This window comes from Homo sapiens, chromosome 16 (assembly GCF_000001405.40).
Source record: "Homo sapiens chromosome 16, GRCh38.p14 Primary Assembly".
Classification (NCBI taxonomy): domain Eukaryota; kingdom Metazoa; phylum Chordata; class Mammalia; order Primates; family Hominidae; genus Homo; species Homo sapiens.
The window spans coordinates 79,752,900-79,777,500 of record NC_000016.10 but is presented as its reverse complement, the minus strand read 5'-3'; the positions used below and the strand labels follow the sequence as shown (position 1 = coordinate 79,777,500).

General features: G+C 42.6%; 2 long non-coding RNA genes across 2 annotated transcripts in view, besides 3 other annotated features; one reads left to right on the top strand and one right to left on the bottom strand.

The window, feature by feature from the left end:
• LINC01229 (long intergenic non-protein coding RNA 1229) overlaps window positions 1-7,030 on the bottom strand; it is a 30,873-nt gene extending 23,843 nt beyond the window's left edge. The window contains exon 1 of the long non-coding RNA NR_104660.1: window positions 6,974-7,030. This is a non-coding gene — a long non-coding RNA (long intergenic non-protein coding RNA 1229). The remainder of the gene's footprint in view (window positions 1-6,973) is intronic.
• Window positions 6,684-6,882: a silencer, noted in NCBI's record as "fragment chr16:79804516-79804714 (GRCh37/hg19 assembly coordinates)". NCBI's record gives its function as "represses an EF-1alpha promoter that drives an FKBP-Casp9 reporter gene in an ReSE screen in K562 erythroleukemia cells {active_cell/tissue: K562}" and the evidence as "EXISTENCE:reporter gene assay evidence [ECO:0000049][PMID:32094911]".
• Window positions 6,710-6,759: a silencer, noted in NCBI's record as "silent region_7738". NCBI's record gives its function as "represses an Ori minimal core promoter by ATAC-STARR-seq in GM12878 lymphoblastoid cells {active_cell/tissue: GM12878}" and the evidence as "EXISTENCE:reporter gene assay evidence [ECO:0000049][PMID:35858748]".
• Window positions 6,880-6,929: an enhancer, noted in NCBI's record as "active region_11161". NCBI's record gives its function as "activates an Ori minimal core promoter by ATAC-STARR-seq in GM12878 lymphoblastoid cells {active_cell/tissue: GM12878}" and the evidence as "EXISTENCE:reporter gene assay evidence [ECO:0000049][PMID:35858748]".
• Window positions 6,969-24,601, top strand: part of MAFTRR (MAF transcriptional regulator RNA) — a 49,221-nt gene continuing 31,588 nt past the window's right edge. The window contains exons 1-3 of the long non-coding RNA NR_104663.1: window positions 6,969-7,054; window positions 8,279-8,348; window positions 19,786-19,850. This is a non-coding gene — a long non-coding RNA (MAF transcriptional regulator RNA). The remainder of the gene's footprint in view (window positions 7,055-8,278; window positions 8,349-19,785; window positions 19,851-24,601) is intronic.

Sequence of the window (24,601 nt, the reverse complement as noted above, 5' to 3'; positions counted from 1 at the left end):
AAACAGAGGCCTGCCTTACTGCCCACATGCCAAGCTCTCACTACCATGACCAGGTTAAAGGGGGGCCCCAGCCAGCCAAATGTTCAGGAGGAGAGTTCTTTTGCATGTTCATTCACTCCCTGAGACTGGAGCCCATCTGGCCAGTAGGAGCATCCGTAACCTAAGGGTACCTTTGACATTGGAAGTCCCCAGAGCAAATCTTGGTACCTTCTGAGGAAGGCGGTCCTTTAAGGACAATGCTGGGGACATAGTGAATCCATGACTTCCAAAATCAAGTCTGTGTCCTTTGGTCAAACCTCCCTTCTCCATTTCTAAGTAGGTTGGAGAGGCTGAGAAAAGAGGCAACACTCACTTATGCATTGAAGTATCCTAAAAATATGTATTAACTGGTAACCCTGTGTCAGTCTCTGATCAGAGCAAGTGCCTCGCTTCAGGGAGCTTAAAGTCTCCTGAAAAAGAACAGGGAGGTGGCCCTAATACAAGGTAACACCAAAGCTCTGCCTTATAAAAGACCCCAAGACAATGATCTGTGAAGGGCAGGACGGGATTATAAATCCCCATGTGCACTAAAGGGAAGGGTCTAGAAGGTCAATGTTTAGATATGAGGTCGCAGTGGTGCACAGACCTGGAGTCTCTCCCATGAGCTTGCAGCCCTCTTTCTATTTGCCTTGTCCCGTCTTTCCGGGATAAAGGCAAGCCTAAATTCAACATTTAAGAGAACAAAAGAGAAGCAGTGTGACCCAGAGACTACAAATGTTTTTCTTAAGCAACCACAAGGGACAGGCTGTTTGGTGAGCACACTCACCAGATGGCTGGGGCTCGTCAGCTGCTTCCAATCAAATCTTGCACCACTGAGTTGGTGCATCCCACACACTCAGCAAGATTCTGCTGAGGTGGGGGGGAAAAACACCCTATTTTCTCCATACCTAGAAAGTGTGCTCTTGGGGTTTGCAGGGCAGAATCCAAAACTAACAAGAAAGTATCAGGAGAAGGCAAAAGGAAACTGAAGACAGCACCCTGTTCTGGGCCATGTGTTTTGGTTTAAGTTTATGATTTTGGAGTAAAGGCAAGGAGAGAAACTGGTTCTTCAAGTCTGTGTGGGCAGAGAGAGGCAAGAAAGGGTTGGAAGAGGAGATGGAGGGAGCTGGCTGGGAAGAGATTAATGAGAAAGAGGGAACAAGAAAGAAATTAGAACATCTAAAGATAATTTGCAAAGATCACAAGGTGCAGAAGCTCAATTTATGACGATTAATATTATTTTGTAAATTAGATCTTCTTTACTTAATTTCAGATATGGAGAAAAACAAAGGCTGAATTTATTCATTTATATATAAATATGAATGTTGTACATATGGATATATATTCACATGTGTGCATATAAATATGCAAACATACAAGTATATACACACATATATATAAAATAGGAATTTTGGAAAACGCACCTTAGTGGAAATTTTAAAATATATATCCAATACCCTACCTCCTTAAAGACCAGAATGTTTCCTTTTAAAGAAATGACTGTTAGAACAAATGTTCTTCCATGAAGGGGTTTCAGTGAGGAATGAGATGCAATTCTAATCATTGAATATGATGATGTTTGACTTTTAGCACCTCCCTGTCCATGCATCCACAACAAAATATAGCTCCTGAGTTTAACCTATAACCTAGACAGCACATTGGGCTTTGGAACACAGAACTCCCACAAAGATTCCAGTAGAAACAAGTGGACATTAAAATGCTGCCTCTAACAGACACTCCCTCTCAATCTGTCTCCTTCTCAATCTGAATGATGAGCTTTTCAGATTTTTCCTAGAAACAGAACATCTTTTCGGGCACCGGAACGATGCTTGCTGAATTGGACACCCCTACATAGTTCATAGGCTCTAAAACACAGGGAATTGCAAAAACACCCAGGTTTGCTGAGGACATTCAGTGTCATGTAGGTATGCACACCTTGCCACGTCCTGGGGCCACCAGGCTTGTTCATACCTGCTTATCCTTCCAAGATGCAAAGCAGGCAGATCTGTCCCTACGAGACACTTACATAAAAGAAAACGCCACACTCTACCTGGAACAGAACACATGCCCCATCCCAAGCTATTCCAGACAGCAGGGATGGAAGAGGCCTTATTGGAGTTCAACAAAAGGCTTAGTTTTTGCCTTCTTCTCCTTTTCCTCCACTAAATCACGGGAATATAAAAATTAAGCCGAGCAATCTCTTACAAATGCAAATAAAAATTATCACTTAGATTATATACCTCCTGCTATCCAATGCTTCTTCCAAGCCCAGTATAAAAGCACCATCAGACAGGATTTGAGCACTGGACATGCTAAGGTTGAAAGTGTCTTAGTATGGCCGGACACAGTGACTCACACCAGTATTCCCGACACTTTGGGAGGCCAAGGTGGCTGGATTACCCGAGGTCAGGAGTTTGAGACCAGCTTGTTCAACATGGTGAAATCCCGTCTCTACTAAAAATACAAAAATTAGCCAGGTGTGATGGCAGGCTCCTGGTAATCCCAGCTACTCAGGAGACTGAGGCCTAAGAATCGCTTGAACCCAGGAGGAGGAGGTTGCAGTGAGCCGAGATGGCACCACTGCACTCTAGCCTGGACAGCAAGAGCAAAACTCCATCTCGAAAAAAAAAATTGTCTTAGTATGAACTGGACACTTGTATGTATGAACTGGAATATTAAACTGGAAAGAAGAAGAGTGGAGAAGAAGGAAGGAAGAAAAGCGCTGCTCTTTCCTTTACTCAGGATGGAATACTGCCTTCCAAATTGGTCAACTTCTCTTTGCCCAGGAGTGGCTGGAATCTGTGTACTTTTACCACCTATGGTTTGATGGTTAGAAATCTGTCCCTAAAACTTGATCAGTAAGCTATAATTTTCCCTCTCCAAGATTGCTCCATTGTGTAGAGATTTTGCTTGCTTGTTTGTTTGTTTATTTGTTTTAATTCTGATGAGATGCTAAAAATATCATGGGACTCATTGTTGACAAGGGTTGCTAAGTGTTTCTAAATCAGGATTTCAATGGATTTTGCTGCCATTATATGTGAGCTTTCTCTGAGAAAGAAGAAGTATGATGAAAAGGGCCAGGATGCAAATATACTATCCTGTTTATTTTATTTTAATTCAGTCAAGACTTTCCTCAGTCTTTTAAGCCAGCCAAAAGCATTTTAAATATTACAAGATCCCAAGTATCTATATTATCATTCATCAGTGGGTTACTAGCCCTTCACTAAAGTGATTCATAGTATATAATAGATGACCAATAAATATAGACTTGGAGGAAAAAGGGGTGACTGCATAAAAGGATGACAGAATTAATGGTAAGTGGTTTCAAGGTTCTGGCTAGTTCTTTCTCTCTTCAATTCATCACTCAAAACTCTATTTCCTAGAAAAATGCACAAATTATACAAGGTGAGCCTGATTGTAGGCAATCTCTAGGCTGTCTCTGGCTTCTCTCCCACAAACTTTTCTTAAATAACCTGTCAGAGTGCTTGCTCCTGGTTTGTACAGAGCATGTAAGTTGCAGGAGTGTTTCCAGACTCCTCTGATCAGAAACATCACCTGGGATGCTTACTAAACACACAGCTTCCCAAGTTCCTCCTATGGATTGCAACTTCGGTTGCACATTAGATTCAACTGGGGAGCTTTTAAAACTCCTGATGACCAAGCTGTCTTTCAGACCAACTCCAGCAGAAATTCAGGGTGTGGGATTCAAACATCAGGAGTTTTAATGCTCCCCAGGTGATTCCCGTGCGCAGCCCAGTGTGAGTACCACCGTAGAGACTGTGAATCAGCAGATCTGCTTTGAGACCTCAGAGAATGTGCAACAAACCCCAGGTAATATTTGCCAGTTTCACCTAGAACCAAATGGTTTAATCAACGAAGCCATTTGCTAATAATTGTTTTATTTTTTATTTTTTCTGAAACGCCAAGCAAATCATTAGACTTATATTTTGGCTAGACTGAGATTTTTAGTCGACATCAAATAAAATTTAAATTGGTCCGCAATGTCAAAGGAAAGTAACACATCATCACAATAAAGCCTCAAAAAACTTGAGACAAAACTGAATTAAGAGCAATTAATGACCCAAAGTTAGCTTAATGATGACCATAATAGTTAACTTCTGTTTGGTAGGACAAGACTCATTTCTTTAATCTATATTGTCATTAAAATGGGCTACCATGGCACCATGATAATTTGAAAGGTTTAATATTGCTATTTAGGAATGAAGAATAACAGAGTTTACATCTTGGCTAATCCATTAACAAGTTGAGGGACTCTATGCAAGTTACTCCACGACTTTGTGCCTCACTTTCCTCATCTGTTAAGTGGAAATAATGCTGCCTACATTCTCTCAATATTATCCAGAAGATTCTCTTAAATGAGATGATATAGACAAAACAAGAGCAAACAGCAACCACTAATACATACTGGTAACCTTCCCTCGTGACCCCATATGGTTATTTATTAAGTCAATAACCTCTCTTCACAGGAACTGATTACATAATGTTTTATGGTATTTTTCTGTTCGTACAGAAAAGCAAGAAAGAGCCCTGGGTCAGAAGTCGGGCAAAGTGGATTCTAACCTACATATCACTACCACCTAGCTGTGTAACCTGTAGTAACTTAGCCTATTTCTCAGGGCCTCAGTTTCCCTCAACACCAAATAAAGTGCTCCAAAATTTGGAGATGGTTTCAAAGCCATGTCAGAGTCCCTTACAACTGCCACAGAGTGTGATTATCTTTGTTGGTAAACTAAGTGTCAGGGAAACACTCAGGCTTTCTTCTCATTTATTTCAGACTTTCACGCCATTGGTGATTTACTGATCATTTCATCTCTTAACTAAGAGAATTAGATCAACATAATCCAGAGAATAAAAACTAGGCCAATCTTTACTAGAAAAGAAGATTCAGATTTCAGGGTAACACAGATGGAAGAACATGTGGCTTTTCTGCCAGGCCCAGTGGAAGTGTATTCAAGGTTTGTTCCCTCCAGGGATAGCCGGCATCACACCAACCTCACTCACAGTCCAGTGTTTACAGGCACTCGAAAACCTCCTAAGAGTGTATTTCATAAAAGCAGGGCCTGTCCAAATCCCCTGTAATGTCTCCAAAGTGAAAGGATAGAGTCAATAATCAGGACTGTATCTGTGTGTTGTAAATGCCCCAAACCTCTATTCCCTCTCTGAGTTCTCACAGGCACGTGTGCATGCACACACACACATAAACACAGCCATAAATATATACACTCCCATTTAATAGACTGGAGATTCAAATTACAGTTATAGTGTCATAAAACTATCTGTAGGGTGTGTGCAGAAGTCTAAGTGTGTGTGTGATGTGGGTTGGGGTGGCAAGCTTACAACCTTCCTCCTTCCCTTGAGGTTCGACATTCTCAAAACGTGAGATTCCTCTGGGACATTTAAATAAGCTGTATTCATAGGGGCGGCTACATAATTTGCAGACCCAGTGCAAAATGAAAACACGGGACCTCTTCTTCAAATCGTATTAATAACTTCAAAACAGCAACAGCAGAGCAGTAAACCAAGTGTAAGACCTTCTAAGTACAGAATCTGTGCATTTGGGCTGGTCACACACCCACAAAGCAAGCTGGGGTTTGAGGATAACACATAGAGAGAGTCTGGATTCGATTTTTGCAATATACACCATTTCTTTAGGAAAGTTCAAACTTTCCCTCTGAAGGCTCTAATCTAAGTCTGCTGAATGAATTGACAAGAAATTAACAGGAGAAAAGCCATAACAAAGCTATTCAATCATAGTTTTATGTGACATGGGAGCCCTCAAAATGAAGACCGCAAGTCCCAGATAAAAATAGATACCCCGGGTATCTGTTTTTACCCGGGCTTAAGTTTGATGAAGCATGGATAGCCAGGTAGAAATAGGGTTAGACAAAGAAGAGTCTGATCTAATAGCAAGAGACTGAGGCAGAAAACCCAGCACGGCCTGTCTGTTCAAATTTTTCTTAGCTTCTCTATGTAGCACGTCTTCCTCTCCAGTATGGGGCAGGACCTACAACCCACAAGGTAGGTCAGAGAATTTCTTTATGGCCATTTCTGAAAAGTGCTTGCAGAGGTTCCTGGCATCATGAAACCAGAGTGTCTTGGGAATCAGACTGGCTTGGGTTTGAATCCTGTGTAACCATGTACTAACAGAATTTCTCTGACACTTCCACTCACCATTTTGAACTTCAATTTCCCATCTATTAAATGGAGACAGGGCAACCCACTCTCCGAATTACAATTAATTAGAGGATTAAATGCAATAAGGCATAGAAAGCAAACAAAATTCGAGGTCAAAGCCCGGTACATAATAAATGTTCCAAATTGCCCTTCATTTTGGGCACAGATCTTGCAGATCAGTTCAAACAAAAACACACTATATATTAAAAGTGAGGCTATTGTAATTGAAGACCAAGAGAGATTCGGAAACCTGACAAATCGTTTTCAACCTGTCCGTTCTTTTGCCTCTAATGAGACTTCTCCTTTGGGTGGGAAGAGATGACCTTCTGAAAAGGCCCTCCGTCCGCGTCAGAATTTGGCGACTAAAGCATGCATGAGCTGGGAATGGTGACAAGTTGCAAAGGGAAAGGGGGAGGGTAGGCAGGGTAAGAAAGAAAACTTAGGGCTGGGGTGTGAAGGGTCTCTTGGTTTGTTTTCCTGGCTGGGACAGCGAACTTCTCCGCAGCCAAGTTTCTGGAGCGGGGCCGGCCGCTTCGCGGCTCCCATTGGTCCGGCCGCGGCTGTTGCTAGGCGGATGGACCAATGGCGCGCGAAGGGCGTCTGGGCTCCTCCTCTTCTGGGCCGCGGCTGGAGCCCGGGAAGCGGCGGCGTCCGCGCTTCTCCCGGCGGCTCTTTCTCTTCTTCTTTTTTTTTTTTTTTTTTAAGGCGGGGCGGGGCTGGGGGCGCGGCGTCGCGGAGCTCGGGCCGGTGGAAGGTTTACCTGCTAGGCTCGTCCCACCTGTGTGGAGCTCCCATCGCCCTCCAGCGTTGCGCAGCCTGAAGGGACAGGACGGACAAGCGGGTATTTTTTCCCCCTCACGCAAATGTGTATTTTGTGTTTTAATAATTTTATCAACTCGGTGAACTCTCGCGAGAGCACTCGCTGCGTGTCTTGCCTCTGTCGTCCTTCCCAGTCTCTAACCGGCCCCTGGGCCACCTCTCACAATTGAGCCCCCAGCCCTTGAACACACGCACACACGCACACACGCTGAGCTACCGCCAATGCTTGAGCCCCCAGCCCTTACACACACCCATACACGTGCACAAACACACACACACGCTGAACCAACTTCAACACTTGAGCCCCCAGCCCCTAGAGAGAGACACACACACACACGCTGATGCGGGAGCATTTAGCACAGTTTCCTTGCTGAAAAAGCAGGACCTCGGTTTAGAAAATGGAAATTGCCCAGGAGGAAAAGAGAGCTGAGATATATGCAGCCCCAGGTACTTAGGGTTAGTAATAATATTGTTAATAATACTATCGTTTCTGAGGGGTTTCTACCAGATACTGTGTTGAGTAGTTGCCATGCTTAATCCTATTTAGAGCTTGGTGTGCCCATGGGTAAACAGAGGCACTGAGCAGGGGAGGCAGAAGCAGGACTGGAAACTGTCTGTGTAACTTTGGAGCTCTTGGTTCTATCCACTTACTGGTGTGGTTGCATGGCTGTACAACTGCCCATGTGGTTATGGCCCCCATCTGGGGATAGGTCTCAGTAGAACCTACATCGCCAGGGCTATGCCAGCCTTATGCAGTCCTATGCATAACTACCAATTCTCAGAATGAGCATGTTTATCACCCTTGGCCCATCCTGCCCCATCACTGTATTTAACACTTGCATCTTAGGTGGATCTTCCTCAATAATCCTGGAATGAGTAGAAAAGACCCATGTTCTGTGTGTTTGGGGAACATCTTATCTTCATCCTGCAACACACATCCACCTCGGCAGCTTCCCCTCAACTAATGTGGGAACCACAACTCAGAGAGGAAAGTGACTGGATCAAGGCTACTCTGATCAAAGCTGGTCACTTCCCACATCTGTGAGACAGCAGAGCCAGTTCTCTGCTTGGTGAAGCAATTCCGTAAAAGCATTTCTCTAACAAGTGACTGCAGACTTCACGTGAACTCAGCTGCATACTGGAAGTCACTGTGATTCTAATTTTATGAAGAATTATCAAGTTGAGCATATTTAAAACTGTGTGGGGCTTTTTTTCTTATACAGTTTCCTTTTTTCTTTTTTTCAAGGTGCCTCCTTCTAATTCATCTTCACCATTGTGGTTGTCAATATGGCATGCAGAATTATCCCTCTTTCCAGGTGAGGACGCGGAGACATGGAGACACATGTAGCCCAGACACATAACAACACAGTAGGCAGGCCCAGTCTTGGAGCACAGATTCTTCCTCCCCCTCCCCACACCTTAGCTAGCTTCTTTGCTCTCCCTGAGTGCCTATGGCTTACAAGTTATCCATTTACAACAAAAGGTTGTTTATTCAGAATGTAGGGACTGGGAATACAGAAGCCAAAAAAAAAAAAATGAAGTGAGAAATGAAATCCCTTCTGTTTTGTTGTTTGGAAACTGCCTGGGAAGTGGCCTGCCAGCTAGGAACAGGGTTGGCTGGTGAAGAAGCCCCTGGCATGACATTTTTCTGCTTAGCAGATGCCTGTGTGCCACCCTCGCCCTTGCTCTGAGCCTGGCAGTCAAGGGAAACGTGTCTGTACTCACTGTGCTATTGTCTAAAAGGCTCAGCAGAAAGGCCCCAGCTAGCTTCCTTCTTCCCTTCGCAGCAGGAGAAGACCTAGGCATGCCCACCTCCTACCCTAACAGACAGCACCTAAGAGATGGTTCTTTTGATAACTTAAAGGAGATATTTTTGAACGTCAACACAAGACAGTATCGCCCAGCAAGGGAGAGGTTTTCGACTCCACCCATCCCCAGAGACTCACTTGGTCTCAGAGAGAGAGTACTGTCTCCTTTCCTTAAATCCCCCTAGCTTAAAAAGCCTAGCCAGAACCCTGCCTATAATCTTTCGCCGTAAAGTTTATCTTCTAACTTTTCTTTAAAACCTATGGAAAATAAAAATCGGGATTGGAGCAAAGCAGATTATTCTGTTTGCAGAGGCTGATATAATTGCTGGCTGTTTTCCCTGGGATCGCACTGTAACTCTTTAGGCAGCCCTGAATTTTAAAGGATGTTTGCAAAGCAGCTTTCTTCCTGAACACTGTCCTAAATCCCTCCTGTTGTAACCCTCCACTCCCTCTGTTTGCCCGGCTTTGCCCGGTGCAGTGAGACGCCTATCCACACAATGGTTTGTCTCTCCTGCTTTCAGTTTTCTTTTCAGCCAACAGCCTCACAAGCATTCTTTCTCCCTTCTGCAAGTATTCCTGTGGAGTGTGTTCTGCCTCTCTGCTAGACGCTGGGATATAGGGAGCCAACACAGACAGGGCTTACAGTCAAGTGGGAGAAATAATACCCAAACTTTCACAAACCCCAGCTTAACACTACTACAAAGATGTATGTTCATGACACAGTGACAACATACGCTAAAGGGACTTAAACCCAATTAGAGCAATCAAGACAGGCTTCATAGAGGAACAGACCTGTGAGGTCTCATAGATAGACAGAGGGTAGAAGTTGGAGATGAGAGTAGATAGAAGTAGAGCTAGCACAGGCAAGTGCCCTCTGCTGGGCTTCGCATCTGCCCTGAGAACAGTTAACAGAGCCTGTTCAGGCCAATCCACTTTCCATGGATGGGAAATTACTTTTTATGGAGACTGGTAAAAATTAGCTTCTCTAAGAACACTGGTCTTTCCCTTGAGACAAGAAATTGGGACCATATGTTTAGGCCTGGTCTTGCTAGGTGGGTGTACAGCTCACCAAAAGAATAAAATCAACACATTTTTCACTGCTTCCATAATCAGGGAGTGGGAACGTTGGAGTCCTACTGATTTTTGCCTTGGCTCAGGGTAGCTTATATTATTGAGAAAGGCTAAACTTTCAGTGCTCCTGTATTGAAAGAGTTCAGATTCAAATTTAACTGAGATTTATTAAGTGCTGACTAGGAACCTGGTATTTCCTAAGTATTACCCCTTGGAAGCCTTACAAGAATTCTAGGAGGTAGAATTTTTCAACCCCTTTTCACAGATGAGAAAACCAAGGACTAGAAAAACCCCTGGATCCTCATCCCAAGTATTTGTCATGGATACATAAGAGGATAAAGTCTTCTTTGACAGCTCACCAAATGAATGTTTTATGTCACAGGCTCACAAAATGTCAGGTTCAGACAGCATTTCATACAAACATTTTTTTTTCAATTATTTGCCACTGTTTGATCTTTAACATCCTTGACATGTCCAGCCTCAAGTTGAATCTCTCTTCTCTTAGGAAATTCACTGCCCTTTTGATGAAGCCAGTTTGACTTTCAGATCTTTGATTGTTCAAAAAAGCTTTTAGCCTTCAGACTTCCAATTGGCTCAAACAGGAAACATAACCATTTTAGGAATGTTGTGGATATAATGTTTAAGCAAAGGTAATGGGCCTAAACAGAATCAGGGTACTAACAGCAAAGCTCATTACTTGGTGATTATGCCAATTTTGCAAATAAAGGAAGAACTCAGAGTAACTTCATAAACACCATAATCTAAGTGTTTAAGAATCCCTGAGGGCTAGGCTCATCTCCTCTTGACCCTACAACCTCTCCTGCGTTCTTGGGATTCTAAATTGCAATATTAAGTCATTGAATTGACCATTCTTCTCCATGGCCTAACAATGGAAATCCTTCTATACCTAATACCACCAAATTGCTGCTCTGAGGTTTACCTTTCCACACTTCTATGCTGGGGTTGGAGCAGAAAGGGCCATGAAGTTGACATATTCGGAGCCAATGATGAGCCAAACCTAGAGTCAGTTTCCTAACTCCACCGGCAACCTATGTTCTGCTTCATGTTGCTTCTCCAGTTGGGTGCTCCCTTGATAGATACCAATTGGATTGCACCTGTCTTAAGTATCAATCACAGCAGTCCCCTCCACCACTACCAAATAGAACCTCTCTTAATTCATCCATCCATCCAGCAAATATTTACTGAGCTCCCACTATGTGCAACAGTGAGGGGGTGAAGTGAAAAAGCAGCCCTGTCTCCACTTTCATGACATGTGCAGTTTTGTGGAGGAAAAAAGATAATATTTAAAGGGCAAGTAGTGAAATGCCAAAGTCCAATGATTATGCATAATCAGATTTTCCCTTCAAAAGTTTATCTTTGGTTCCTGAGAATAGAATGGAAGACAGAGAAGCAGACTTTAATCTCAGTCCGTTGCTAACAACATTGACATTTTATGACCTTTACTAATTTTTTTCAAGTACCTATCAGGCTGTGAGGTTATTGTGTATGTTGGCTTGTTTACCACTTGATGATCTTCCTTTACTGCATTAGAATGAAAGTTCCATGAAACGAGGAACTTTTCTAGCTTACTCACCTCTGAACCTCCAGCCCCTATCAGAATTTCTGGAACCAAGTAAAAACATCATCAGATTTTTTGAGCTAACACATGACTTTCTCCTTAAACCTGACTGAGGCAGGAGCGCTAGAAGCAGCTCAACATCCAGGTGAGCAGGAGTTTCAGCAGGCAGCTTTCGCAGCCCTTACCTATCTGGAGCTTCCTGCTGCCATTTTGTGTTATTGTCATTCCAAGAGCTCTAGTTTACTCTTTAGCAATTCCTTGGGGATTTGGAGAGAAGGCTATTTTTGTTTTAATAATTTAATTACTGGTTAATTATTACATCGAAGTTCAGAGATAACTTCTTGAGTCTGCAACTGAAAACCTTTTTTTCTACTTTCTCTCCCTGACCATCCACCCATCTCTTCCCAGAAATAGGTGCCTAACATAAAACCCATGTACTTGGCAGCTGGTCATGGAAGCATGTGAACCTTATCCCATGCTAATCAAGGAAGGGAGAAATGGAAAACTTGATCCCCAGGTGGCTTCATAGGAACCAAAAAAAAAAAAAATAGAGGAGATGCTGGCATTGTCCAGTGCTGATAACATTTTCCTTTTTTAAAACAATCATTATGTTTGTGCTTGCAGCATGCTTTGTAATCACTTCTGATCACCATTCTTTACATCAGCACAGCATTTTATCCATTTTGAGGAAGCTGCAGTTGAGGTCAGGAGTGGATGAGGGCCTTCTCCTTGAGATAGGACAAACAGCTCTAAACCTGGAACAGATCCACATCCACAAAAGTCTCTGCTGTCCCTGCTACCATTTCCTCCAAGGGTTAAATCTCCCACATGATCAAGTGCAAAGGGGAACATCCACTTTCTGAGTAGGATTTGCACATGAAGAAAGAAGCAGCATCTCCAGGAAGTTGTTGTCAGGGCTGGAAGCGGGGGCTATGCTCAGAGCCCAACATCCACCCCATCTCTATAGTGTGGCACTGGCAATTAGGGAAGTTGTCTGTCATCCCCAAATCCCAGACTAGGAGGGGGGCAGTTAGATGTCACTGGAGGAGACAGAAGATGGATGGTCCTGGGAGGTTCCTCTGTCCTATCGATGCAGACACACCCGTCTCTCTGTCTCATTGCTTACATCACCTTCAATTTGACCAGATGGACATCATGGGAGGATTTTCGTCTGGATCAGGATTCTTAAAACACTAGCAAAAAGAGCTGGCTCTTGGGAGAAATGAGGATGGGGCTATTAGAAGTTGGGAGCTGGGGCCATTAGGAAGCAGCCAGGCTGTGTGGAGGCACAGGGGGATTTCTGCTCAATAATGGGAAATGTGAACACAGGTTAGTGCTGTGATTACAGCATCCTGGAGCGGGGGCCTGAGAGGCCAGGAATAGATTATGACTCACTCAAGCAAAACGTAGGGGAAGGGACTAAGGTTGCCCCTCCAGAATCTGAGAAAGGCACCCCTGTGGGAAGAGATATTCCACTCCAGGGTGTGGATGGGAAGGGTCATTTCAGAGCATCACACTGGAAAGTGGCACGTAAGTATTCGTGGACCTGGGAGAACTAGACCAGATTGGATCAGTTCAATGAAAGCACAGAACAGAACTCTTTAGAGAGCTTGTAAAAGCATCTACTAGCCCTGGAGTGGCAAGATCACTGAATTGTGGAGTTTTCACCCTGTTTCTGGGGGGTAATTTGGCAACATACATCAAGAGCCTGGGGGAACAGACTCAAAAACACAGATTTATTCCAAGAAAATGTTTAGATATACACATAAAGATTTATACGTAAGAAAGTACATCCGTGGGATATTTATGTGGGTGAAAAAATGACAAATAATCTAAATGTCCCACAACAGAGGAAATTACTTAATCAATTTCAGTGCCTTCCTACAATGGTACTTAGCAAACCTTTAAATATAAAATTATGTTTTCAAAGCAATGTTAATGACATGGAATAATGATTATGACATGCTAAGTAAAAAATGCAGCTTACCTTATGAAAGCGAATTGGATATAATCCCAATTTAATATAGGGAAAAAAAAACCCAAAAGGAAATAGGCCAAACTGTTAACAGTGTTTATCTGTATGTAGCAGAACTAGGGGTAATATTTTTAAACGGTGTTCAATGTTTTCTAAAGTATCTACATATTAATATAGATTGATAAGTATGTGTGCATAACTAATATATATATTAAATACACATTAGTTTTTCTCCGCTCCTTATCTTTCTTGCCCTGCTTATTCCTCTCCACACCAATGTTCACCACTTGACATACTATGTACTTAGTGGTTTATTTGCTATATTTCACTCTTTGCTCTTTTTGTCATCATAAAAATTAAATATTCTTAAAATATTTTAGAAGAATAATTGTAATTGCAGGAAGGCTAAGCTTTCCCCATTTTTATAACTATGACAAATCGAGACCAGGATACAGGATATATTAAGCTTATCCTTTGTCATGGGGGCTGCTTAATGACAGCCATTAGTTTCAGTCCCAAATGGGGAAGTAGAGTAAGAGGCTACCCCAGCAGTAGAAAGATAGGATCGATGACCCCAGAGTAGAAGCTCTGAACCCTGCGATTCCACTAGGAAAAAGACTAAGTCCTTAGGATATAAATTCCCAACGTAAGACCAGTAGGTACCAAGGGCTGACTGAGGCAATGAGAATTTAGTCAATTCATCCACAATGTCCAAGTTCTCCCCTGAATGACTGTTGCTCCAATCACAATCGACCCGTGACACGTTTTGCTTGAAGGCAGGAGTTTAGATGTTGCATGGTATACTGAAAAGGGTCAAATATATATGTTGATTTAGAATCCTGATTTCAGTACTTCTTAGCCATGTGACCTCACTGAAGGTATTTTAACTGCTGTCCTAATCCTTAGTTCCCTCACCTGCAAAGTAACACTAATCTCCCTAAGTTATTTTAAGTATGAAATGAGACTATAGATAAAAGTTCTCGCACAGGGCTGGGTATAGGGTCCTGCCCCAAATTCACCCTGGCCACTGTTCTGAAAGTCTAGTTTTCTAAGAACAAACCCAATCAGTAATAGCTTCATACAACACATATCAATCTCCACATTGGCTTAATCATGATTTAATGATTTCATAATCTCATTGCAGATTGTAATCAGGACATAACGGGATCTTTGAGCAGGGAATTCCTCTATTTCAGTGTGGTGTGGGGACCCCCAACATCCCGACTCCCAGCAGGGCTTGTTAAAATAGGGCACAGGTTAACAGTGAGGAGTTCCTGGCCTCACTGGACATGTGAGTCACAAGGTCTAGGGGTGAAACCAGAGAATCTACACTTTTAGAGGGTCACCAGGTCGTTCTTTTGCGCAATAGAATTTGAGATCCACTGCAACTAATGTTTCCAAGAACCGGTAGAGGTGCTCATGACCTTTTTTAGGTCAAGGCACAAACTTTGCATCCTTTCTCCTCTTCCAACCCGTAATTGTTTTTGTTAGGGTGATGTCTAAGAGAGTGGCCTTGCAGAAAGAATACAGTCATTTTCCATGTAGTATTTGCGATCCTTCGAAAGATTCTTGTTCAGTGGCAAAACTGTGACATGCTGAGCCTGGCCTTGCAGGGCTGTGGTTAGCCATACAGTAGTCCTGAAAGTCCAGGGTTCAACATGGGTTCATACAGGCTGTGCTTTGGTTTCAAGATTTGTACAAATGATCTCACTGAAATCAGAATCAAAGAAAGAAAAGATTTATCTTCATTTTCATAGCTCCCCACAAATTAATGTTTTTCTCTGTTTCACCATATTTCTTCCTTGCAGGCCTTGAATACTTAAGTTTTATAAATTCATAATCATTACACTGATATGCTTCTGAGATACGGGTCTTTTAATTTCATGATCAATATTCTTTCTGCTTTCCCTTTTCTGGTGTTCCTCCCACGCTATAGAATTTCCTTGTAATAATTAATTCTTAACCTTTATGAGACTTTGCAGTTCTCGCAGCATTTTCATGCCCATTATCTTATTAACAGAATAATTTATTTAGATAGCTTTGTTCCTTCTCATGAAAAGTATCTCAACAGAGATTCACCCAGCGAAGTGCTTAGAAGCATGAGCTCTGGAACCACAGACCCAAGTTTAATTCCTGCCATTTAATAACTGAGAGAATTCAGACAAGTAATGTAGCTTCCCAGAACCTGTTTCTCTTGTCTCTACCATGTAGGTAGATAATCACAGTACCCACCCAAAGTGTAGGATGAAACGAGATAATCACTTGTAAAATGCTTAGCGTGATGCCCAGCATAGAGTAAGGGTTCCATTAATGTCAATAATTATTGTCATTATCATTGTTATTAAAATATTAGATAAAGACTTTTAATGACTATAGGAAGTAAGAGGAAACTAACTTCATTTGACCGGATGTGACCCCCAAATCTAGCTTACACCAATCCAGTTTTCAGCCCAGAGTTCAGGAAAGAGAGGACAACATTTTAGGCAATGCCCATCACTGATTGTTTGTCTAAAGGAGAGATTATGATTCCATATTGTAGAAGTAACAGCTTCACCTGGGACAGAGAGATAACTTTTGAGTTTTTACATCAGACTTGGATATAGCTGGTTAAAATTAAATCCAAATTTTTCATAGCTTAGAAATGTTTGAAACCTGCTTTTCATAGTTTTCACATGGTTCTTTTTAGACTGGGTATGAGAATGAGGAGAGGGGGTTCTTATTGCCAAGTTTCTCATGGGGAAGCATGTTCTTGCCGGCCCCAGCAAACTTACTTGGTTCCAGGAGTTCAGGCCCAGGTAAGCTTTGGACAAACACCTGAGGCTCTGGGAGGCTTAATTGAGATGAGCCTGAACTTAAATGTTTTATGAGGTACGCCCATTGCTAATTTTCTTGGCCAAGTTTGAGTCTGTCTCACTCCTGCTAGCATCTGACAAACTCAAGTCTTCACCATGAAGCCTTGATTGATTTCACCTTACTGTTTCTTTGAGCACAGTAGACTGTGTGTCTGTGTGTGTCCTGGGCACCCAGCACTGAGACCTGCAGCCTCCTATCCTTTCAACCTGGGAGTCATTACTGCCTTTGTGCAACTTGTCTGGAAGTTCCAGAAAAGCCAGGCCTCATGTCTTCTATAGCAAGGTCCTCAAGGACAAGACCAAATTCTCTCTCAAATATAACAAGTCTGGTGAACAAGGGAACGTGAAATCCAAGCATCTTACCAAGCTTCCATGTGACTTGGGAGCAAAACAGCCTGTTTTATACAGGAAGAAAAAAATACCCCAGCTAGATAAAGCCCGTGGGGGTGATCTGAGAGAGAAGCCAATTACTCTACTGAGATTTGCCATCTCTTTTTGGTTTCAACAAGCTTCTCCCCACCTAAGTTCAGAGTCATCTGGAAAGCTTTTTCTCAGCTACCTCCAACCTTCAGACTGTATATCCCTCAGTTGATTTATTTTTTGTTTATATCAAGGATCACTCATACATATGCCGACAATATTATCAGAAAACTTACACCCAGAAAGCTTGAGTGGAACAATACGTATGGGTCCATGCAATTTTCAGAATGTTTTTCAGGCCAGCAGGAAACAAACTGAAAAGGCACCAGCCAGTTAGATAACAGCACACTGACATTTCACTCCTACATGTGTATTGCTGTTTGGAATGTTCTAGATATTCTAGATTAGTTATGTTCCAGCCAGAAGAAGAATCAAAGCCTAGGAGCTCAATGGCAAACATTCAATATGGGAAACCATATCATAAGGTACAAAGACATTAAAGGGTATGAGGAAGCAACCCACAGATTTGCAGCAGCTAGATTCTCCTAGGGCTGGAGAGACAAAAGGATGTGTCTTCCTCAAAACTCAAAAGCCAGAGCTGTGTGGCAGCAGCTTGGATGATAGAGGCTTTCTGGGTGGAGCTGGAATTCTGGAGGAGAGACAAGCATTTGCTGGAGATGCTGATCAGAGCATAACAAGAAAAGGAAAAATATCCTGACTACTCTCTTTCTCTCACATTCCCACTGCAACCAGTGGTTCCCATTGGCTAAAGCCAATCAGGAGCCAGTTCCTAAAGGAATGGGGGAAATATAGTTTTCAGGATTCAGTTTTCCCAAGGAATAGGTCTAAAAATAGTCAGTATACAGCCAGCACACAGGTACGACCAGTGCCATTGTATGTAATTTTTATACTTGTTACCTAAAATCAAAGTTACCGAAGAGCAAAGTACATTTTTTTCTTTTTTTTCCTTTTTTTTTTTTTTTTTGAGATGGAGTCTCACTCTGTCGCCCAGGGTGGAGTGCAGTGGCACGATCTCAGCTCACTGCAATGTCCGCCTCCCAGGTTCAAGCAATTCTCCTGCCTCAGCCCTCTGAGTAGCTGGAATTATAGGTGCCCGCTACCACGCCTGACTAATTTTTGTATTTTTAGTAGAGACGTGGTTTCGCTATCTTGGCCAGGCTGGTCTTGAACTCCTGACCTCGTGATCCACCCGCCTTAGCCTCCCAAAGTGCTGGGATTACAGACGTGAGCCACTGCGCCCAGCCAAGCAAAGTACATTTTCAAGTGCATTAGTATGTGTTGTCTCTATATTACTATCTTCACATGTTGCGGTAGATACTTTATTCTCATATTGTCAATACCTAGTGCATACAGTAAAGCCTCCATCAATGTTTCTGATTTAAGAAGGAACACCAAGTCTATGAAGAGCACATTTTTAACTCTAAGGAGAGACAGCAGGAACGTAGGTGGTGAGTGGACTCCTGGGCTGACGGAAAGATTCCGTGAGATGTTAGATTTATATATGCCTCATAAGTGTAAGGCCCAGACAAATACACACATTGTCAGTTCTCTTTGCTCTGTGTGTGCCAGTAAAACAATCCAACATCTTCTTTTTTTCAGGGTGATGTTGACACATGTCAAATACATTAACATTCCTATTGAAATGACTCATTTACAGGGAACAGTCAGCTCAGAAGGATAGGAGGGGAAGAGTGAGAAAAGCATTTTACAATTGTTCAAGATTTTATGAGCAGCACGTCTTTTGTTTTTTGTTTTAAAGACGGCAATCATGGTATTACTGTTATCATATCATTATTTTACATCATCACGATGGTTGTTGCTGTAATTTGTATGTTGCATTAACTGCACCAACTTAGAAGTCCAAAGGAGGTCACCGAGCTAGAAACTGGACGTGAGTGACAACACCTCGCCTGCCGGGCTGCTGTAGCTCCCCACGCTTGCTAGGTTCTCTCTCTTCCTTAGTATGTCGAAAGTGGCGGTGCCCTAAACCTTCTCTGGCATCTGTGTGGCTCCTGCCCCGTCCTCCTTTCTCTCACACTCTGCTGAGACCTCTGCTCACCCTTCTCAGGTGGGTGCTCATCCCACGAGGATGAACTCTGGGGTTAGGTTTTGGGGAGCTGCCCTCCCTTCCCTTCAAAGCCTCCTCCGCATAAAGTTAGAACTTTGCTGTTGATGTTGCTTGGTTGAGTTGCGTTTTGTTTTTAGGAATATTTGACTGTATCTGGGGCTGTAAATGAAAGGAAACAAGAACCTATCCATTTTTGCAACTCACGGTGAGCCTGTTTAGAACACCCCCACCCTAGGCCTAGACCCTTCCTCATGAGGTCTTCACAGAGCTGCCTCGCTATGTGCATTCTAAACTTCTCCATGCAGGGAGAGCAGCTTCTCTCTCTAGGAAATAATCTCAAGCATGTCTTAGTCCCAGAGTCCATGCCTACTCACCATGGGATGCAGAGGCAGGGAACTGTGCTTCCTGCATCATGTTTAAGGCCAGCTTTCTATCTCTCCTAGTATTGACGTCAATCCTGGATGATAGACAATGGGGATTTCCATTGTCTTCAAGAAAACACGTCTCCTCCCCCATCGTCCTCACCTGCCACCCACACATACACACATAACGCTAAATAGGTGGTCAGAATGCACTTGTCTGACATCCAGGCAGTTCTCCAAGCCTGAGCCGTTAAATGTTCAAGAACTCTGCCCATAGATTATCAACACAATGGTTTAGGGTGGTCTTTGACCAGGATGGTCGACTTTCTGTTTTTCACCATGCCTTTTCAAGATGACAGGAGCATTCACCAGCCATCTTCTGCCTTATACATTATAACAGAAACACACTAATACCACCAAGGACAAGCCCTGGTTCACAGGCACAGTGCAAATGGAATCTCAATGGAAAAAAAAAATTCCACTTCTGTTCCACCACAAAATATTGATAATGAAAACAGAGCTATGGCTCAGCCAAACAGTCCATTTTAAGTTACCAAACTTCTAAAAATGTGTATTCAATTTCATGACTCCTTACAGGTTTTCCCCAAGGACCCTGGACAATGCTGGTTTTTCCTATGTGCACCACCAAAGGGCCTATCCAGGTAATTTTTCTCAGACGAGAAAATAGGGTACTATGTCCCTAAAGGGGTAGTCATGTTTTCAGCAGAAAACTGCTTGCAGATCTGAAATGATAGAGCTTCCAGCTTTGACAAGACCTAGGCAAGGACTTGAAGGGCAGTTTTAGTCCTGACACTTATACATCACTGTTGCTCAAGTCTGGTGGCTTCAACAAGTGGTTACCCTGCTCGGTAGTGACCCACTGTGGCCGTTGGCCCTGTCTTCACTTGATTTACCCATCGCATGCTTCCCCACCTCCCCCTCATATGTACACGCCATTGCAAGGCCTCTGCACATGTGATCTAATTTAGACCAGCTGCCTTCCCTGTGTTAGTCCAGATAAACATACCCCAGGAAAGTGCTCCATCAACTTGCCCGTGTGAGAAGTGCAACTGCAAATCAACCTCTCAAGCCTGGAACATTCTCTCCTGTGACATTTGATATGTCTTTCCTGCTTGAATGCTTTGGGTTTTTTGATGTTGTTGGTGATGATTTTCTGTATATAGCATCTTCCGTATCTGTGCCATCTCTCCTACCAAGAGATCACAGGATCTTCCCTTGAACTTCAGCTTCAGCTACTTGGAGAATAACTGTCTATTTCTTAGAAACCTCTGTAACCCCTACACTGAAATCTTTATGTGCCATAAAGCTTACAGTGGAAGGAAACCCATTACAAAGAAATCCTGAAAATTTTGTGATATTGTTTGACTGTCTTTACATGATGCAACAATAGACAGGGTTTTTAAAAAATGGATTTGTGGTAGAAAGCAAAAGGAGAGGGTGTTTTTAGAAACTGTGACTCGCCTTGAGAAACTGTTCTTCCACACAGTCAACTCTGTTTTGCTACCGTCTTGTTTCCCTGGGATTGCAGGGTAGGTTTCGCTGATTTCAAAGCCTCATCTCTTTTCACGTTACCACACTGCGTACCATTTAGTTGAGCAGTTGTTTGACAGCCATGTCTTAGTTCTGTGATGCATCACTCAAATCAAAGTTTTGAATTCTGTGGTCAGTTTACCCAGAAAAACAGCCAGGAACAAACAGCCTCAAACTACCCTTCCTTCCTTCCTTCCTTCCTTCCTTCCCTCCCTCCCTCCTTCCTTCCCTCCTTCCTTCCTTCCTCCCTCTCTCCCTCCCTCCTTCTCTTCCTGCCTTCCTCCCTTCATTTCTTTTGTCCTTCTTTTCTTACTCCCTTCTTCCTTCTTTCTTTTGTCCTTATTGTCTTACTCCCTTCTTCCTTCTTTCTTTTGTCCTTTTTTTTCTTTATTTTGTCACTTTTGGTAATTTACCTGGGTATCTTTTTTTTTAATTTTTATTTTTTATTATTATTATACTTTAAGTTTTAGGGTACATGTGCACAATGTGCAGGTTAGTTACATATGTATACATGTGCCATGCTGGTGTGCTGCACCCATTAACTCGTCATTTAGCATTAGGTATATCTCCTAATGCTATCCCTCCCCCCGCACCCCACCGCACAACAGTCCCCAGAGTATGATGTTCCCCTTCCTGTGTCCGTGTGTTCTCATTGTTCATTTCCCATCTATGAGTGAGAACATGCGGTGTTTGGTTTTTTGTCCCTGCGATAGTTTACTGAGAATGATGATTTCTAATTTCATCCATGTCCCTACAAAGGACATAAACTCATCATTTTTTATGGCTGCATAGTATTTCATGGTGTATATGTGCCACATTTTCTTAATCCAGTCTATCATTATTGGACATTTGGGTTGGTTCCAAGTCTTTGCTATTGTGATTAGTGCCGCAATAAACATACGTGTGCATGTGTCTTTATAGCAGCATGATTTATAGTCCTTTGGGTATATACCCAGTAATGGGATGGCTGGGTCAAATGGTATTTCTAGTTCTAGATCCCTGAGGAATCGCCACACTGACTTCCACAATGGTTGAACTAGTTTACAGTCCCACCAACAGTGTAAAAGTGTTCCTATTTCTCCACATCCTCTCCAGCACCTGTTGTTTCCTGACTTTTTAATGATCGCCATTCTAACTGGTGTGAGATGGTATCTCACTGTGGTTTTGATTTGCTTTTCTCTGATGGCCAGTGATGATGAGCATTTTTTCATGTGTCTTTTGGCTGCATAAATGTCTTCTTTTGAGAAGTGTCTGTCCATATCCTTCGCCCACTTTTTGATGGGGTTGTTTGTTTTTTTCTTGTAAATTTGTTTGAGTTCATTGTAGATTCTTTACCTGGGTATCTTTCAACTCCTATCAAAACTTAATTTGCTGTCATCTTTTACCTAAGCACATGAAAATTAATCTTCTCACAGAAGTGGAGACATCTGTGATTCATTTCCTGAGCTTCTCCAGCTCCTGTCGAATTGCTTTCACTTCACCTCTGTCCCTACCAGCCTGAGCCCAGTCTAGGAGAAACCTTCAAAATCACCTCCACAAACCTTTTCTCTCCTTTTTCCTATGAACCCAAAATATCAAAGGCCTTTCTAGAGAGAATGGCCATTTTCCCCTGTGTATGCCTATTGTCCTTAAATGATTATTTCAAACGTGCCCTTTAACTCTCAAAAGTGTCCTGATTTTCTGACAAATTATGCAGCCACTCAATTCCTAAGAGATCTTTCAACTTGGCTTAGACCCCAATTTCATGGCTTGGGGCAAGCAAGCTGAAGCCCTCCCCGGGATTTCCCAGAAATCCCTGGGTTCCTGAGGTTCACTCCCGCTTGCTTCTTTGTGCCTCCCTGAATTTTCTTTTTCTCTCCTACCAACCTGGATACAAAATTCAGCTTTCATTGCATGACTCAAAATCTCCACTAATGTAGATCTTATAAGCCTTTTGATATACTTTATTTAAATTTTGAGAGAGTGCTGGGAATAGCCACATTGTGGTTTATAAGCCCCTCCCAGTTGATGTTTCTGGTCCTCTCCCACTTCCTGGGCCTCAACCTCCCTATCTCTCCTCCTCAGCTCAGGAGCAATAAACACATTCCTGTCTGCCCCCTACAGAGCCTTGCTGTTCATATCAAGCCCCTAGAGGCCTCAGCTCATATCCTAAGTACTTGCCAAGAAAGTTTTCTAAATAACTTGTTCTTCCTGAAAGAAAGCCTGGTGAATTCATTTTTCATCATGTAATTAAATCTAACTACCTAAATACATTTGATTTCATTGTACTTATCTTGGTTGTCACTGGCATGTGGACAAGAGTAAACTTTGGCAGAAAATATGGGAGAAAAGAAGAAGTGATTAAAACTTAAAAGAAAAAAAAGGCATGGTACAGGAAAAAGGAGAGGAGAGGGAAAGAGAAAGAGGGAGGAAAGGAAGGAGAAAAGGAGGGAGGGAGGGAGAGAAGGAGGGAGGGAGAGAAGGAGGGAAGGAGGGAAAGCAGGAGGAAGAGACCCTTTGTTCTGCAGTTTAAGATGTTATCCTCCTGAACAGTGATTTTAAAACTTTTCTGTGAGTAGGTGTTCCTGGGAGTGTTTGTTAAAAGTTTAGATTTACAGAGTCTCACACTCAAAGACCTCGACCTGGTAAGGCTGACAAAAACCATGCTTTGAAAACTGTTCTGGAACATGCCTAAGCTTAAGGGAGATAGCAAGGTTATATGAAACTAAACACAGCTAAATCAGAGAGGATCACAATTATTTTTTCTTTCACCAATTTATTTGAACTCTACAGAGATCATCCTGTCAGGCTTGATACCTCCTTTTAGCCTTAGAATATGAAGTCATCTTGAGTGACAAAAATATAGAACACAAGCATTAGAATATCAAGGTCCTTTGCAAATCTGACCTTAGTTTAAACAATGTACATATTAGCCTTATCCAGTATCTTTGTAAACAGACACAAAGCCAGATCATCCAGGAGAGCATTGGCCAAATTACTGGGTTGTTTACTGAGCTTCTTTGAAAGAGCATGTCAGGGAAATATTAAATAGTACATGGAAAGTACCTAGTATTTTGCCTGAAATCAAGTATTATTATGTTGGAAAGGACAATGATTTTTCTGATGGAGACAGCGAATGACAAGCTTCTCAGCACATGATGTCCAATGTATTTAAATGATATCCTGATTATGAGGAGTGTCCCTAGTCTAAGTGGGTGGCACTGACAAAGTTGACATTAGCTGGTTTTGAAGGGGCCATCACAAAGGCTTTATGTGACCCTTGCTCTACTTGCATTCCTTCTGCAGTTGTCATCCAAGCAATTGTCCCCTGCTCCTTCATACCCATGCTATCCCTGGCTCCCTCCCTCCTTCATTGCAGAGCTGCAATGGGGCAGACAACACAGGTGATCAGAGCTCACCAGTCAAATACGAGGAACAGAAGACCATACCCATAAAACTCAAAGACCTAACACATGGGCATCAGAATACAACTGAGAAAAGAAACCCCACAGTAAAGAGTCTGTATGAAATTAGTCCAGTGCGCATTGTGAATGCCTTGGAAAACCTTCTTGAAATGGACACTTCCTGGTCTGCCATCTTGCTATCTGATTCTCACCATACCCCCAATGCCATGTCTAGCTCATAAACTCTGCTTTCTTGGTTTTCCCGTCTTTGCTTTCTACTTAGAGCTGGCTTCTGTGCTACATTCTTCTATATATCTGCCCATAAAGGGGGAAGATCTGTACCCCTCAGCCAGAGAACTAAATTCTCTTTTAAGGAAAATCCAAAGACTCCCAATAGCATTGTGATAAGTCTTCTGTTGATGTGTTTTTGTCTCCACACCTCCTTCAAGGCTCCTACAGGTTTGTTACCTTCATTCTCC